We start from the raw sequence: 13,130 nt of genomic DNA, 5'->3' as shown, positions 1-13,130 counted from the left end.
CCACATGGCACTTCCAGTTTTTATCCTGACCTTGTGCCTGCAACTTTATTTTTAGTCTCCATGTTAATTTGGGGAAGCCTCGAGCTATTCTTGGAAACAAGAATCTAGAGTTTAAATGGTCCCAGCATAAATATTCTTGTAGGACTTAATCCATTACAGTGGAGCAATAGAGAAATAAAATAAATACTGCCACCTGTCAATGGTAGCAAAATGTATCTAGGAAGAAGGCTGTTTTAATACTTAGGGACTTAATGACATCAAGATACTAACATTTTTATCAAACCTTTCTTAAGAGGCAGCCCAGAATTTTGCAGGGAGGATTTCATTAAAAGAAGGCCCCCTTTGCACTTGCCAGAAAAGTTTCTGGCCTTTGTACCCATTACCATCCTACCTATTGAAGAGGGATGGACAGAAGTGTGAATGCTTGAAGGTTTTCATAGACAAAACCTACCTGGCTTGACATGGGATATTACATTCTTCAAGCACCTTAAATTTAATTTAGGGGACTAGTTACTGTAAACCTCTTCTCCAATCAATTGATAAATGTTTGTTGAAAACTTAGTGCAGTGAACACCCAGCACTTTGCTGAGTTTTCTGATGTATCCTAAGAGTCTTTCATACGTCCATATGCGCAGTTTCGCATGGGGTCGCCATGGAAGAATAGTTTATTGGTCCTTTATAACTCACTTTAGAGATTTTTATCTTGGATTTGTCTTATCTGCCCCTCTTGTTTGCTAGGGAAATGTTTAAAAAGGTTTGGGAATATGTGTCTCAACCTCAGGGAACTCAACCTGTTTCAGTTGTTAATCAATGAACCTAAATTCAGAGCTGCATTTACTTTGAAACTAAGCATGGTTAGTCTGTCACTCAGAAGTTTTCCTGCTGAGATCCATTTGGAAAGAAAACAAAACCAGCCCACAATTTAACACCATCGTCCGTCATGATTACCAAGAGAAAGCCTTGATGTCATAGCCTGTTGGATTTAGCTGATTGAAAGATCTTTCTGCCTGATGGCTCATTTTTGGCTGAAGAAAGTCTGTATCACTTTGTTTGGAGGCATCTCACTATCCTCAGAATCTTCATGTCAGAGGATTTTAAAATGGTGCCTGAGTAGATCAGCACAGCATAGCTGGTCAGTCTTAACAGTGACCACTGGAAATAGTCAAAGATTGCATCCCTGAAAGACTGGGAAGAACCCAATAATGGTAGCCGGGTTCTTAAGCATACTAGGAACAGATACTCATGCTTCATTTTGCTTTGTCTTGAATACTCAGGTAGTTTATTTCTCCCTCTGTTCTGTTTGGCTAGGATAGTAAAGCCAAATACTCTGCTTCCATATTCAGCCTAAAGTACTATACGTTTGCCAATAACCCAATTAAAAATTTTTTTCTTTGTTCTATCTATTTTCTTATGAAAATGTTTAAACTTATAGAAGAGCTGAAAGAATTCATACCTACCATCTATATTCTATAATGTTTTTCTATATTCTCATTATCACTCATCTGTTAGAATCCATCTGTCATCCATCACCTCATCTTATTTTTGACATATTTCAAAGATGTAGACATTAACACACTTTACTCCTAGATACTTCAGCATGCAAATCATTAACAAATATTTCCAGTAGCTTTGAGTTGGGGTAGTTCTAATGTGGTGATTGGAGAGAGGGATGCTGTATTTTGCTGGTGCTGAGATAAAAGTGAACAAGAATTTTTGTCTCTTCTCAATAGAAGTCAGAGTTTGTTTGTTTTTTTTCCTATTTTCTATTCCCTTTTTCCATTTTGCCTGGAAATGGCTTTTATTCCCATCCTCAACCAACAGTAGTGTCCATTTGTTCCACAGTTTTAGATGGCGGAACACTCAGGAATAGTGATGGACACGCAGGGGTCTGAAGCAGAGGATGGCTGCCATGAGAGCCAATTCAGCCCCTCGTTGACCACTCTAACCCTGTGCCTGCTGGGTTCGAAGTCAAGGCTGCATTTGGCAGTAATTGAGACACGAGGCATCTTCTAGCAGCACTGAAGCAATTGGATGGTTCTGGGGCTTAGGTTTCAGGAAAGCAGCTCCCAGTTGGCGTTGAGACTCTTCCCCTCCACTGGAAAGCCCGTGTTGCATTTCACCTTTTCGTGTCTAATGCAACAACCGCTTCACTCTCGAGGGAGAAGCAGAAGCCTTCCCTGTGAGCAGTCTCGTGTATGTGTGTGGTGGGATTGTTGGCTTGATCGGATGGTGTCTTTTGTTTGCTTGTTTTTAATTCTGGCTTCCTAGAGGGCAGTAGGTGAAAGAATGAATTTTTCTTAACTGGTAGTCACTTTATACAGCACTTTGTTGATCAAACTGCTTGGATGTCATCGGTTTTTTATTTCTCATTCCAATGAGGCACTGATATGTTAATTGCTTTGGAGAAGAATGAGTGATACACAGACTGTAATTGGGGGAGACTAAGGCACACATTTGCTTAGCTTCCTAGCTCATGTGGGACTTTGTCAGAAAGAAGACAGGGAAATAACTGAAGATCCCATGTCTTTGAGAGCCACTCTTTTTCATAGGCTCTCTAAGAGTGACGTGGTGCCCTTAATCTAACTGCAGATCCCAAGAAATGTTATGTTCCAGTTCCCAGAAAACAAGTAACTTACACTGGTGCTTCTGCCTCCTTGATGCACATTCTACAAAGACAGCAAAACCATAGATGCACCCCCACCCTTACTAAAGACCTATTCCAGCTAAACAACCCTGGGACAGCCCTGGGGATCTTCATAGCACTGGGCCATGGGACATGGCCAGGATTGAGGACACTAACTCACTAACTGATCCCCAAATCAGTGGTCTGTCTACTTGAGAGCAGCTGCTGTCTGTGTTACCCATCTCTTAGGTGCACAGGCTAGAACAGTAGATTATTTCAGAGGGAGTTGAGTGCCCCTTTGCCCATAACCTACAACCTCTCCTGTGTGCCCCGGTTCCCCCTTGCCCTTGCATCAGTTGCTAGAACATCCTCTAAGTCCAGATACCTCGACAAGGTAAATGCTCCATGACAGATTGGTGATATGTAGACTTTAAGCCCCAAAAGACATCAAGGCATTCAATGCATACCGTTTTGGTTTTTATTTTCTCCTGTCCTTTGCTTTCTGGATTTTCATCTCACGTAAAGCATGTGGGGGTTTTATTTTTATATTTTTGTGTGTGTGTGCAGTGTCTGCCCCAAGCAAGTCTCTTGGGAGGAGGAGGCGGCGGCTGGCTCGAAACAGGTTTACCATTGATTCTGATGCCGTCTCCGCAAGCAGCCCGGAGAAAGAGTCCCAGCAGCCCCCCGGTGGTGGGGACACTGACCGATGGGTAGAGGAGCAGTTTGATCTTGCTCAGTATGAGGAGCAAGATGACATCAAGGAGACAGACATCCTCAGTGACGATGATGAGTTCTGTGAGTCCGTGAAGGGTGCCTCAGTGGACAGAGACCTGCAGGAGCGGCTTCAGGCCACCTCCATCAGTCAGCGGGAAAGAGGCCGGAAAACCCTGGATAGTCACGCGTCCCGCATGGCACAGCTCAAGAAGCAAGCTGCCCTGTCGGGGATCAATGGAGGCCTGGAGAGCGCAAGCGAGGAAGTCATTTGGGTTAGGCGTGAAGACTTTGCCCCCTCCAGGAAACTGAACACTGAGATCTGACTGCGTCACCTGCCCCGTAGAGAATGTGTGTAGATACTTCCTGCCCTAACTCTGCCCACCCTCCTGTACCGTCGACAAGAATGTCCCCTTAGGTCGCGCTCTTGCACACACGGTTTTGGCAGCTGACTTGGTTCTGAAGCCATGTAGCCACCCAACTTTGTCATTTTCAACAACATCAGAAAGAATTGATCAGAATCCCAAATAAGCTTGAGTCCTATCTTCTGTATATTACTAAGGGCTTTTATTTATTCTCAATAAATCAGGGCCTGAACAATTAAAAGAAAAAAGATTCTATAGCACTGGAAAGCAAATCACCCCAGGAGTTAACGGATGTACAACAGATTAATTTAAGGGATAGTAGCACACACACGATCCTTCTATCTGAAATCAGTCTCCTAGCTGGGGAAACCTCTTTCACACACAAAATGAAATGTGTACAGCTTGCCGTGTTCTGACTGTACCCTTCCCTCTTCCATGTCTGAGAATCTCCGTGTATTTTAAGAATGTGTGAGGAGAGGGTGGCGATTCATGTTTCAATGAGCCTCTTTTTTTTTTTCCTTCCTGTTTTGGTCTATGGCTGGTCTTACTCTGTGTCCATGTTCGGAAGCTCTAGTTTTGCATAGAATTATAGAGATGCCAAACTCTTTGAAAAGAGATCCAAATTTATCGCTTGAGAGAAAGAAAAGAAACACTATTTTTTGTATTTTACCTGAGATACAGGGGCACAAATAGATGAGAATTTTACAGTGTTAGTGTATGTATCCCTGAGCCTAAAAAATGAGGATATAACCTTTTACAGAGAGAGTGAGGCGTGGTGGTTTTATATTTATATATGAAAGGCCAGCAAGCTCATGCGAAGGATATACTTTTCTTCCAAAAAGCGGATTTTTTTTTTTTAATGTTTGAATCTATATTTGAGATGGGAGTTTGGTTGGATTAAACATGACACCCCGGTGGGCGGTGTGTGTGTCTGTTGCACATGGCAGGGAGGGGAGCCTCCTTCTCATGGGGTTGCCATGGTGATCATTGGTTTTTCCATCAAAATTGCATCTTCATCCATAGATTACCTTCCCCTTCCCTGACAGTCCATAACCAAACCTTTAAACAGAACAACCTCTTTAAAAACTTCTCTTGTGTTTAACACTTTCTTCATGCCAACGAAACAGGGTAAACATGCTCAAAACATTAACAGTCTAAACAGATATCCAAATACTAAGAAGAAAAACAAGTTATAGCACTTTCAATTTTTTTTTTTTTTTTAAAAAAAGGTTTATAGCTTTTTCTTTTCCCATGTCACAATGTCCACTTCCTAAGAAGGGTTTAAAATACTATGAAAACTTTCTTTTTGGGGAAAATATCTATTTGGTGTTTGACACATCAGTAGGTACTTTAAAGACCTGAATTTTATAGTAGCTTTAGGAGTTATATTTTATAAAAATCAGTTATGACTTTATATTTCCAGACAATAGAGAGTTCAGTACATCATGCTCTTGTGCCTCTGCCTGCTTTTCCTGCGTTCCCACCCTGTATTCCCCCCGCCTTTCGGGTTTCCAGGGCTTCGAGCTTGATCTTTTGAAAGTTTTATTCTATTAAATTTTTGCTATATCTTCTGGTTTTCTGAAAAAGCTTTAGAATGGTTTCTATACCCTTTGTATCACTGCATTTTTCCATATCATCTCCGGTTCGATCGCGTCCAGATGGAAAACGGAAGCAGAGGCTTCTAATCGTCGCATTTACTGGCTCCAGTGCAACACATCCATCTGAAAACACTCGGAAGTCTGGTGCTTGGAGAGGGTGCCATTGTCTCTTGTACATAAGGTCATGACGTGTCTATGTCAAAAGTTCTTATATATTTCTTTTATAAGCTGAAAGAAGGTCTATTTTTATGTTTTTAGGTCTATGAATGGAACGTTGTAAATGCTTGTCAAACAATAAAAATAACGAAAAGTGTCTGGGCGGTTCTATGCCTTTTTGGATGGGAGGATGAGTATGAATTGTTGGCGGGAGAGCGGCCGTGGGAGAAGATTCCTGGGAATGCCATTTATTGAAATAACTCGTGATCATCAGGAGAACGCTGTTGTAGCGCTTGAAGTTTTAACAACAACAAAAGGTGCATTACAGTTGCATGGCATCTTGACCTAACGTTGCCCCTACTGGGCACTGTTTCTTTTCCAGTCTCCTGCCTATCCCGATGGGAGCAGGCTGGGGGGGTTCCTGTGAAAATATTGGGGTGAAGTGCAGAGCTCTGACTGGCCTGACTGAGCTCTTGAATCACTCCACATTTTATCACCGGGGGCCTGCTGCCTGAGTCTTTCACAGAATCACCAAACAAGGTAAATACAGTCTTGGGCTGCCTTTCTCTTCCTGTCAGAGTCCCCAGATCTGAGCCTCTCGAGTCCCTTACAAACCTTACCCATCAATGTTACCCCATCCATCCCTGCCCTCAGTGAAAAGATTGTCTCCTGTCACTAGAAGAGCCTCTCCCTGGCGCATGGGGAGCCCTGTGGTGTAGCTACTTGCTCCTCACAGTGGAGGTCCTGACACCAGCAGCGTCGGTGTCACTGGGAGCTTGTTGGAAGTGCAGAAAACTGGGAGGCAGGAGGAGCACTTGAGGCTAGAAGTTCGAGACCAGCCTGGGCAACATAGTGAGACCCCCATCTCTACGAAAAATAAAATACTTAGCTAGTCGTGGTGGTTCACACCTTTAGTCCCAGCTACTCAGGAGGCTGAGGTGGGAGGTGAGCTCAGGAATTTGAGGCTTGCAGTGAACTGTGATCATACTGTTGCACTCCCGCCTGGGAAACAGAGACCCTGTCTCAGAAAAGAAAAATGCAGAAACTTGGGCCCCACCCAGAGGCACTAAACCAGAACTTCCATCTTAACAGGATCCTCTGATGACTCATCCATGTTCATGTTTGAGTCACATTCGTTTGGTAGCCTCCAAACATTCTGATGTTGAGCAGTGATTTGGAGCACATTCCTCTTTATTTTAAATATATTCAGGCATTACAGCAGCAATATGTACATCTTTAAGACACAAGATGTCTCTCTGTAGCCAGTGCATCCGACTTGGGGGATGACTGAAGCCAGCTTTAACACCTGCTCCATGAAGTTATTCCAGCAGTTTGTACTCTGGTGTAAATGAGATTTAGCAGTTTGGGCTGCTTTCCTCACCAATAGCTGAGCCTGTGTGTGCAGAGGAAATGAGTGCTCAAAGTCAACTATAGAGGAACAATCATGCCTTTCCCCACTAGTTTTCATTTATTTTCAGGCTCATCTCCCTCCCACCAGGCTGGCAGAAAACATCCTCAGTTTTCCTCTCCCTTTCAGTTCTTAAGGTTTGGGGGCGGGGTGCTTCCTTCTGCAAAGATAACTGTAGCAGTGACCAGTGTCCTCATCCATCCACGAGCTCCTTCACGCGTGATGGTGGGCTCTCTAGTGTATCCTTTTGCTCACCCAGGATTCTTCTGCAGCCTGGTCCCCGGTGTTCTGTCTCCTCTCTGGGACGTTGCCAGGATGCCTCCCCCAAGTTCTGGTCCCTCCCCTTCCACAGAGCTCTCCTGACTGTATCCCCAGCCAGGGGCTATTGCCTTTTTTTTTTTTTTTTTTTGAGAGGGAGTCTCACACTGTCACCCAGGGTGGAGTGCAGTGGCGTGATCTCGGCTCACTGCAACCTCCGCCTCCCAGGTTCAAGGGATTCTCCTGCCTCAGCCTCCCGAGTAGATGGGATTATAGTCGCCCGCCACCACGCCTGGCTAATTTTTTTGTATTTTTAGTAGAGACAAGGTTTCACTATGTTGGTCAGGCTGGTCTCGAATGCCTGACCTCGTGATCCACCCACCTCAGCCTCCCGAAGTGCTGGGATTACAGGCATGAGCCATCGTGCCCTGCTGGCTATTGCCTTTTCTGTGTGTGTGTGGTTATGGGGATGAGGACAGTGAAGCTGGGTTGCAGTGGGGAGCCCTTACCTTGTGTCTTTTTGCAAATTTTTTGTTGATACCCAAGTTTTATAGGCAGTTCTGCTTTTTGATGCAAACCTATTCTGGGATAGGGAATCCCTGTGACAGTTGCCTTAGAAGGGAGGTGTTGAGCAGGTTGGGGGGAAGTCATGAAAATACAAGGAGAGAAAGAAATACTCAAAATATTCAGCCACTTACGTAGAGAATGTGTGAGATCAAAATTGCAGTGTCATGGCCGGTGCTGTGGCTCGCACCTGTAATCCCAGCACTTTGGGGGGCCGAGGCGGGTGGATCACTTGAGGTCAGGAGTTCGAGATCAGCCTGGCCAATGTGGTGAAATCCCACCTTTACTAAAAATACAAAAATTAGCCAGGCGTGGTGGCACACATCTGTAATCCCAGCAACTTGGGAGGCTGAGGCAGAAGAATCACTTGAACCCGGGAGGTGGGGCTGCAGTGAACTGAGATTGCCGTGCCGCACTGCACTCCAGCCTGGGCAACAGAGTAAAACTCCATCTCAAAAAAAAAAAAGGCAGTGTCACAATCCCCCTAGGCTTCTCTAAAGGAAGTCATTGTTGGTAGAAGGAAAAAGGAGTATTCAGAACACAAATCATGAATGTGTAAGGCTTCTGTAAACACATGGAGTATGGATGCTGTTGGCAAGATACTGTCTCCTGCTGAACAGTGCAGGGGTAGAAACCCTCCCAGGTCGTGTTCCTGGGATCACCTTGTTTCCATTCTTCTGCCTGTCATATGCCTCTCCGCCTCCACCATGTACCAATAGAATGCATTGCATAGAAAACCTCATTCGTCGACAATGGAGTTTATTCTGGTCTATTCTTTCTACATCTTGAAGCAACCTTTAGCCCATACATTCTACTGTTTCAGTAAGTCAATTTCTGCTGTCACTGAGTCCACCACCTCGACTGTGTTCCTGAGTGAGATGTGAGTCACGCACATCTTCATGTCACTGCTGTCGAACTGGGCTGACGGCTTCTAACTTGTGTGCAGTAGATCCTCTGCTGTTGTCACTTGGGATTTATTTCTCTCTCTCTCTCTCTCTCTGTCTGTCTATCTCTCTCTCTCTCTTTCTTCTCACTCTGTCACCCAGGTTGGAGTGCAGTGGTGTGATCTCGGCTCACTGCAACCTCCGCCTCCCAGGTTCAAGCAGTTGTCCGTGCCTCAGCATCCCAAGTAGCTAGGATCACTTGCCCAGCTAATTTTTGTATATTTTGGTAGAGACAGGGTTTCACCACGTTGGCCAGCCTGGTCTCGAACATCTGACCTCAGGTGAGCCACCCGCCTTGGCCTCGCAAAGTGCTGTGATTACAGGCAGTCCCTTGGGATTAAAAATGACAAGGGATTTAGACTATGTGTGCACACCTTGCACTTTCTGTACAGTCAACTACCCTCAGGTTGGGGAGGTGTGACGCTTTTTTAAAAAACCCAAATCCAGGGTCCCTAATATTTTTTTAAAAATTCAGGAATCACATAATCCTTCAGAATTTTTTTTTCCATGTTCTTCAACATACTTCATACCCAGGTCAAGCCGAAGTTAGATTTTTTTAGCCCAAGAGGCCCTAGTGGGATTACTTTCAGCTTTCTGGGCACCAGCTTCATCGTTTTTAACTTCGATACTTAGTTTCTTGTCTTGAACACCACCTGGGGCTTCCTGGGCTGTTCCCAAGAATGATTTGGTTACAGGATGTCCTGTGTTCTGTTCTGCTGTACTCTGTGCTTGGGTGTTCCGCGTGGTGCCATTACCTTGTATTTTAGACATTAATGGTTGGTTAATTATAGGCCCCTCACTTTCAATCAAGATGGTAACATTTGATTGTCCTTGATTGGTTTGTTGAATATATGCATGGGGTGTGCATGTGTGCACACACACACTTAAAAGTGAGTTTATATTTTATTAACATACAGTTTTGTTAACCTGATTTTTACTCTTAATGATACAAGTTGTAGACATTTTCTTGACATTCTAAAAAGGTCTGCGTCACTGTAAGTCATGGCCACATCCATCATAATAGTCATAGTTCACCGTAATTTACATAACCAATTCCCTGCTGATGGGCATGAAGGATTCCAGGGGTTTTATTTTGTTATTAAGAAAACATGATGAACACCCATATTGGATATTTCTGTGCACTGGTCCAGTTGCTTCCTGAGGGAATACTGAAGAGGTAGCTTTGGGAACATTTATATACATTTTAAAGATCTTGATTGCCATTTCTAAATTCTAAGATGCTGTATTCCTGTTTGGCTTCTGGTGAGATGTCAAGATCCTACTTCCTGTCTAGTGTGTCCACTTTGTCACAGAAATGGCTTTTCCACCTGAGTTTGTATTTCGATTATTTGGGCCGGATATGCTTGGTGAGCTGGGACTTCTCCCACTCCTGTCCTCCTTTCTCTGTTCACACTCAGTTTTTTGTTTTGTTTTGAGATGGAGTCTCGCTCTGTCGCCAGGCTGGAGTGCAATGGGGCGATCTCGGCTCACTGCAACCGCTGCCACCCAGGTTCAAGCGATTCCCCTGCCTCAGCCTCCCGAGTAGCTGGGACTACAGGCATGTGCCACCACGCCCGGCTAATTTTTTTGTAGAGACAGGGTTTCACCATGTTGGCCAGGATGGTCTCGATCTCCTGACCTCGTGATCCACCCGCCTCAACCTCCCAGAGTGCTGGGATTACAGGCACACTCAGTTTTACTGTTAGTCTTTAGGGTATTGGGTGTTTCTGGTGACAGGAGTTGAGCATCCATGAACTCCCCTTCAAAGTTTCAGAGATTTTAAATATTCCCTTACCTCATACATGCTGTCTGATGTCTTGCCTCCAGATTTAAATGAAGGTTGAGTTTTTTATGATATTGATGAAATCAGTTTTATATGACAGACATGGCCATTTTGAGGAATAAGGATTTATTGACTTTTTTTTTTTTAAGGTTTGAATAGACTCAATAGTTGGACCAGTGATGTCACAGGACTAGGTCTCAAGTGACCATAATCTTACAATTCACTCCTAAACTCCAGGAGATGGGAAAGTGGTAATTGCTCCAGGAATAGAGTTGTTTAGTTTGGGGAATGGACAGAAAGTCAAGGTAGGGACGGAGTGTCATTCACTTGAAACAAATCTTGATACCTTTTACTAAGAGCCCTTGCATAAAAGATGTGTTTTTGTGGAAAACTAGGGAAACAGACAATGACTGGCAGGTCTCGTATTAACCTTTCAAGTCTCAGGGAGTTTCTCGCCACCAGCTGGAGTAAGGTGCATCAGACCCAATAGAGCAATGATCCTTGAACCAAAATGTGACTTTCCAAGGGTTCAAGGGTGCAGATGGTTTAAGGGGAATCCTTATCTAGATACTCAATGTCAAATGCCCTTTCCTAAAACTGATCTGCTTGGGAATGTGCTTGTGATAAACTGCACATTCTCTTCCCTCCCTCCCTTTTGACAGTCATCTTGCTCCCATTTTATTAAAAAAAGAGACTCCTCTCAGCTGTCCTGGATTGTACTTAGAGGAAGAACCTCTGGGATACCAAACAAATGGTCACAGAGAAGTGGTGTGTTCGGAAAGTAAATGACACCACCGACCAGGAAGCTAATCCTTCGGTAAGCCAGGTGGTTTCTAATTATTTGCTCCTAATCAGTTTGAAGAAGGACCTAATCAAGTCGTCAGGTGATAAATCATTAATTATAGATGATATCTCTGATTTGGTGCAGATAATTCAAGAGGTCAGAGAATTGAGTGGCACATAAAACTGCCGTAATTAAACTTCTTTCACTCCCAGTAGTCTTCAAACAAGGCTTTTCTGTGCTTGCATCTACAAAAATGAAAAGTAGAAATAGAATTGATGCAGAACTCTGTCTAGCTAAAAATAAGATCCACTGACTGGATACATGAACTAATTGAAAAATAAAAATATCCATTTCATTTAAGAGATTATTTCCAGTGAAATTTTACTCTTTATATTTGATATTTTTATGTATCTCTCTCTCTCTCTCTCTCTCTCTCTCTCTCTCTCTATATATATATATATATATATATATACCCATATATAAACTCTCTCTCTCTCTCTCTGTGTATATATATATAAACTCCAGCAGATGGGAAAGTGGTAATGGCTCCAGGAACAGAGTTGTTTAGTTTGGGGAATGGATAGAAAGTCAAGGTAGGGATGGAGTGTCATTCACTTGAAATAAACCTTGGTACCTTTTACTAAAATATATATATATATATACATACACTTTTTTTTTTGGCGGTGGAGGGGGACAGGGCCTTGCTCTGTCACCCAGGCTGGAGTGCAAGAGCGCAATCATAGCTCACTGCAGCCTCAAATCGGATTCAGGCGATCCTCCCACCTCAGCCTCCTGAACAGCTGAGACTACAGACACATGCCATGACCCCTGGGGCTAATTTTTACATTTTTTGTAGAGACAGGATCTCCGTATGTTGCCCAAGCTGGTCTGGAACTCCTGGCTTCAAGCAGTTTTCCCACCTTAGCCTCCCAAAGTGCTGGGATCACAGGCATGAGCCACTGTGCCTAGCTGATATATTTTTATATTGGTCAATCGTCTACCAATAATAATTGCAGTGATAACACAATCCATAAGTGATTTTTTAAAAAAATAGTTGGAGCTTTATGGTCATAGGAAATGCCAAAACTTTTAACATAGACATTTATCTAGATCTTTGTTCTAGAGAAGTTTGATAGGGTAATAGGATATAATAGGATATTAGAAAATGGGGCTAAAAGAAAAAAGGAATGATGTGAAATTTTTGAGTTTTTAAATGTATCCTTTGAATGGATGATGAGCATTAAATTGATTTGGGATTTTGGATACACTGGATACATTAAAACTGACATAATAGTTTTATTTGAAAATATCAAATTTTATAATATGTAAGTGTATCAATTGCTAGGTAACAAAAGCACCCTAAGGCTTAGTGGCTTAATACAACAAGCACTTATGCTGTTCATGAATCTGGGGGTTTAGCTGGGTAGTTCTGGACTTGGCTGGGTTGGTGGAGCTCCGTGGTCAGCTGGCGGTTCAGCTCAGCTGGGGCTGCATGTTCTCACACCCTGTGGCCTCACGTATGTGTCAGTTGGAAGGCTGCTTGGTCTAGGAACCTCAGCCAGGAGAGCTTCACGTGGTCTCTCTTCCACCGGTAGACTAGCATAGGCTTCCTTACATGGTGACTGCAGGTTCCAAAGAGTAGCAGGAGCAAGCCCCAGAACACAAGTGATTTTCAGGCTTCTTCCTGATTCACCTTTTCATAACCCTTGGCAAAAGCAAGCCGTGTGTCCAGTTGGGAAGGAACTCTCCAGGGTCATGGATCCAGGGAAGTGTGACTCCTTAGGGACCATTACTGCAGTAATCTACCATAGCCAGACATAGCATCCTTTGAAACTACTTAAATTGGTAATAAAAACATTTATTATGACATTTAGCTGTCAGAAGGAATATATTTTCAAAATTATCTTAGGGAGTTTCTGAGAAGAAATTGGAAATT

General features: G+C 43.4%; 1 protein-coding gene across 14 annotated transcripts in view; it reads left to right on the top strand.

The window, feature by feature from the left end:
• The window catches only part of TIAM1 (TIAM Rac1 associated GEF 1), a 440,670-nt gene extending 435,060 nt beyond the window's left edge, over window positions 1-5,610 (top strand). For all 14 annotated transcript variants that reach the window (NM_001353690.1, NM_003253.3, NM_001353688.1 and 11 more), the window contains one exon: window positions 3,191-5,610. In NM_001353690.1, the coding sequence (NP_001340619.1) occupies window positions 3,191-3,660 (470 nt within the window). In that variant the 3' untranslated portion in view covers window positions 3,661-5,610. The remainder of the gene's footprint in view (window positions 1-3,190) is intronic.
• Window positions 5,611-13,130: the final 7,520 nt, after the last annotated feature.

The sequence above is a fragment of the Homo sapiens genome, chromosome 21 (genome assembly GCF_000001405.40).
Source record: "Homo sapiens chromosome 21, GRCh38.p14 Primary Assembly".
Taxonomy (NCBI): domain Eukaryota; kingdom Metazoa; phylum Chordata; class Mammalia; order Primates; family Hominidae; genus Homo; species Homo sapiens.
Note: the sequence above shows the minus strand (reverse complement) of the source record. Positions and strands in the feature narration are given on the sequence as shown.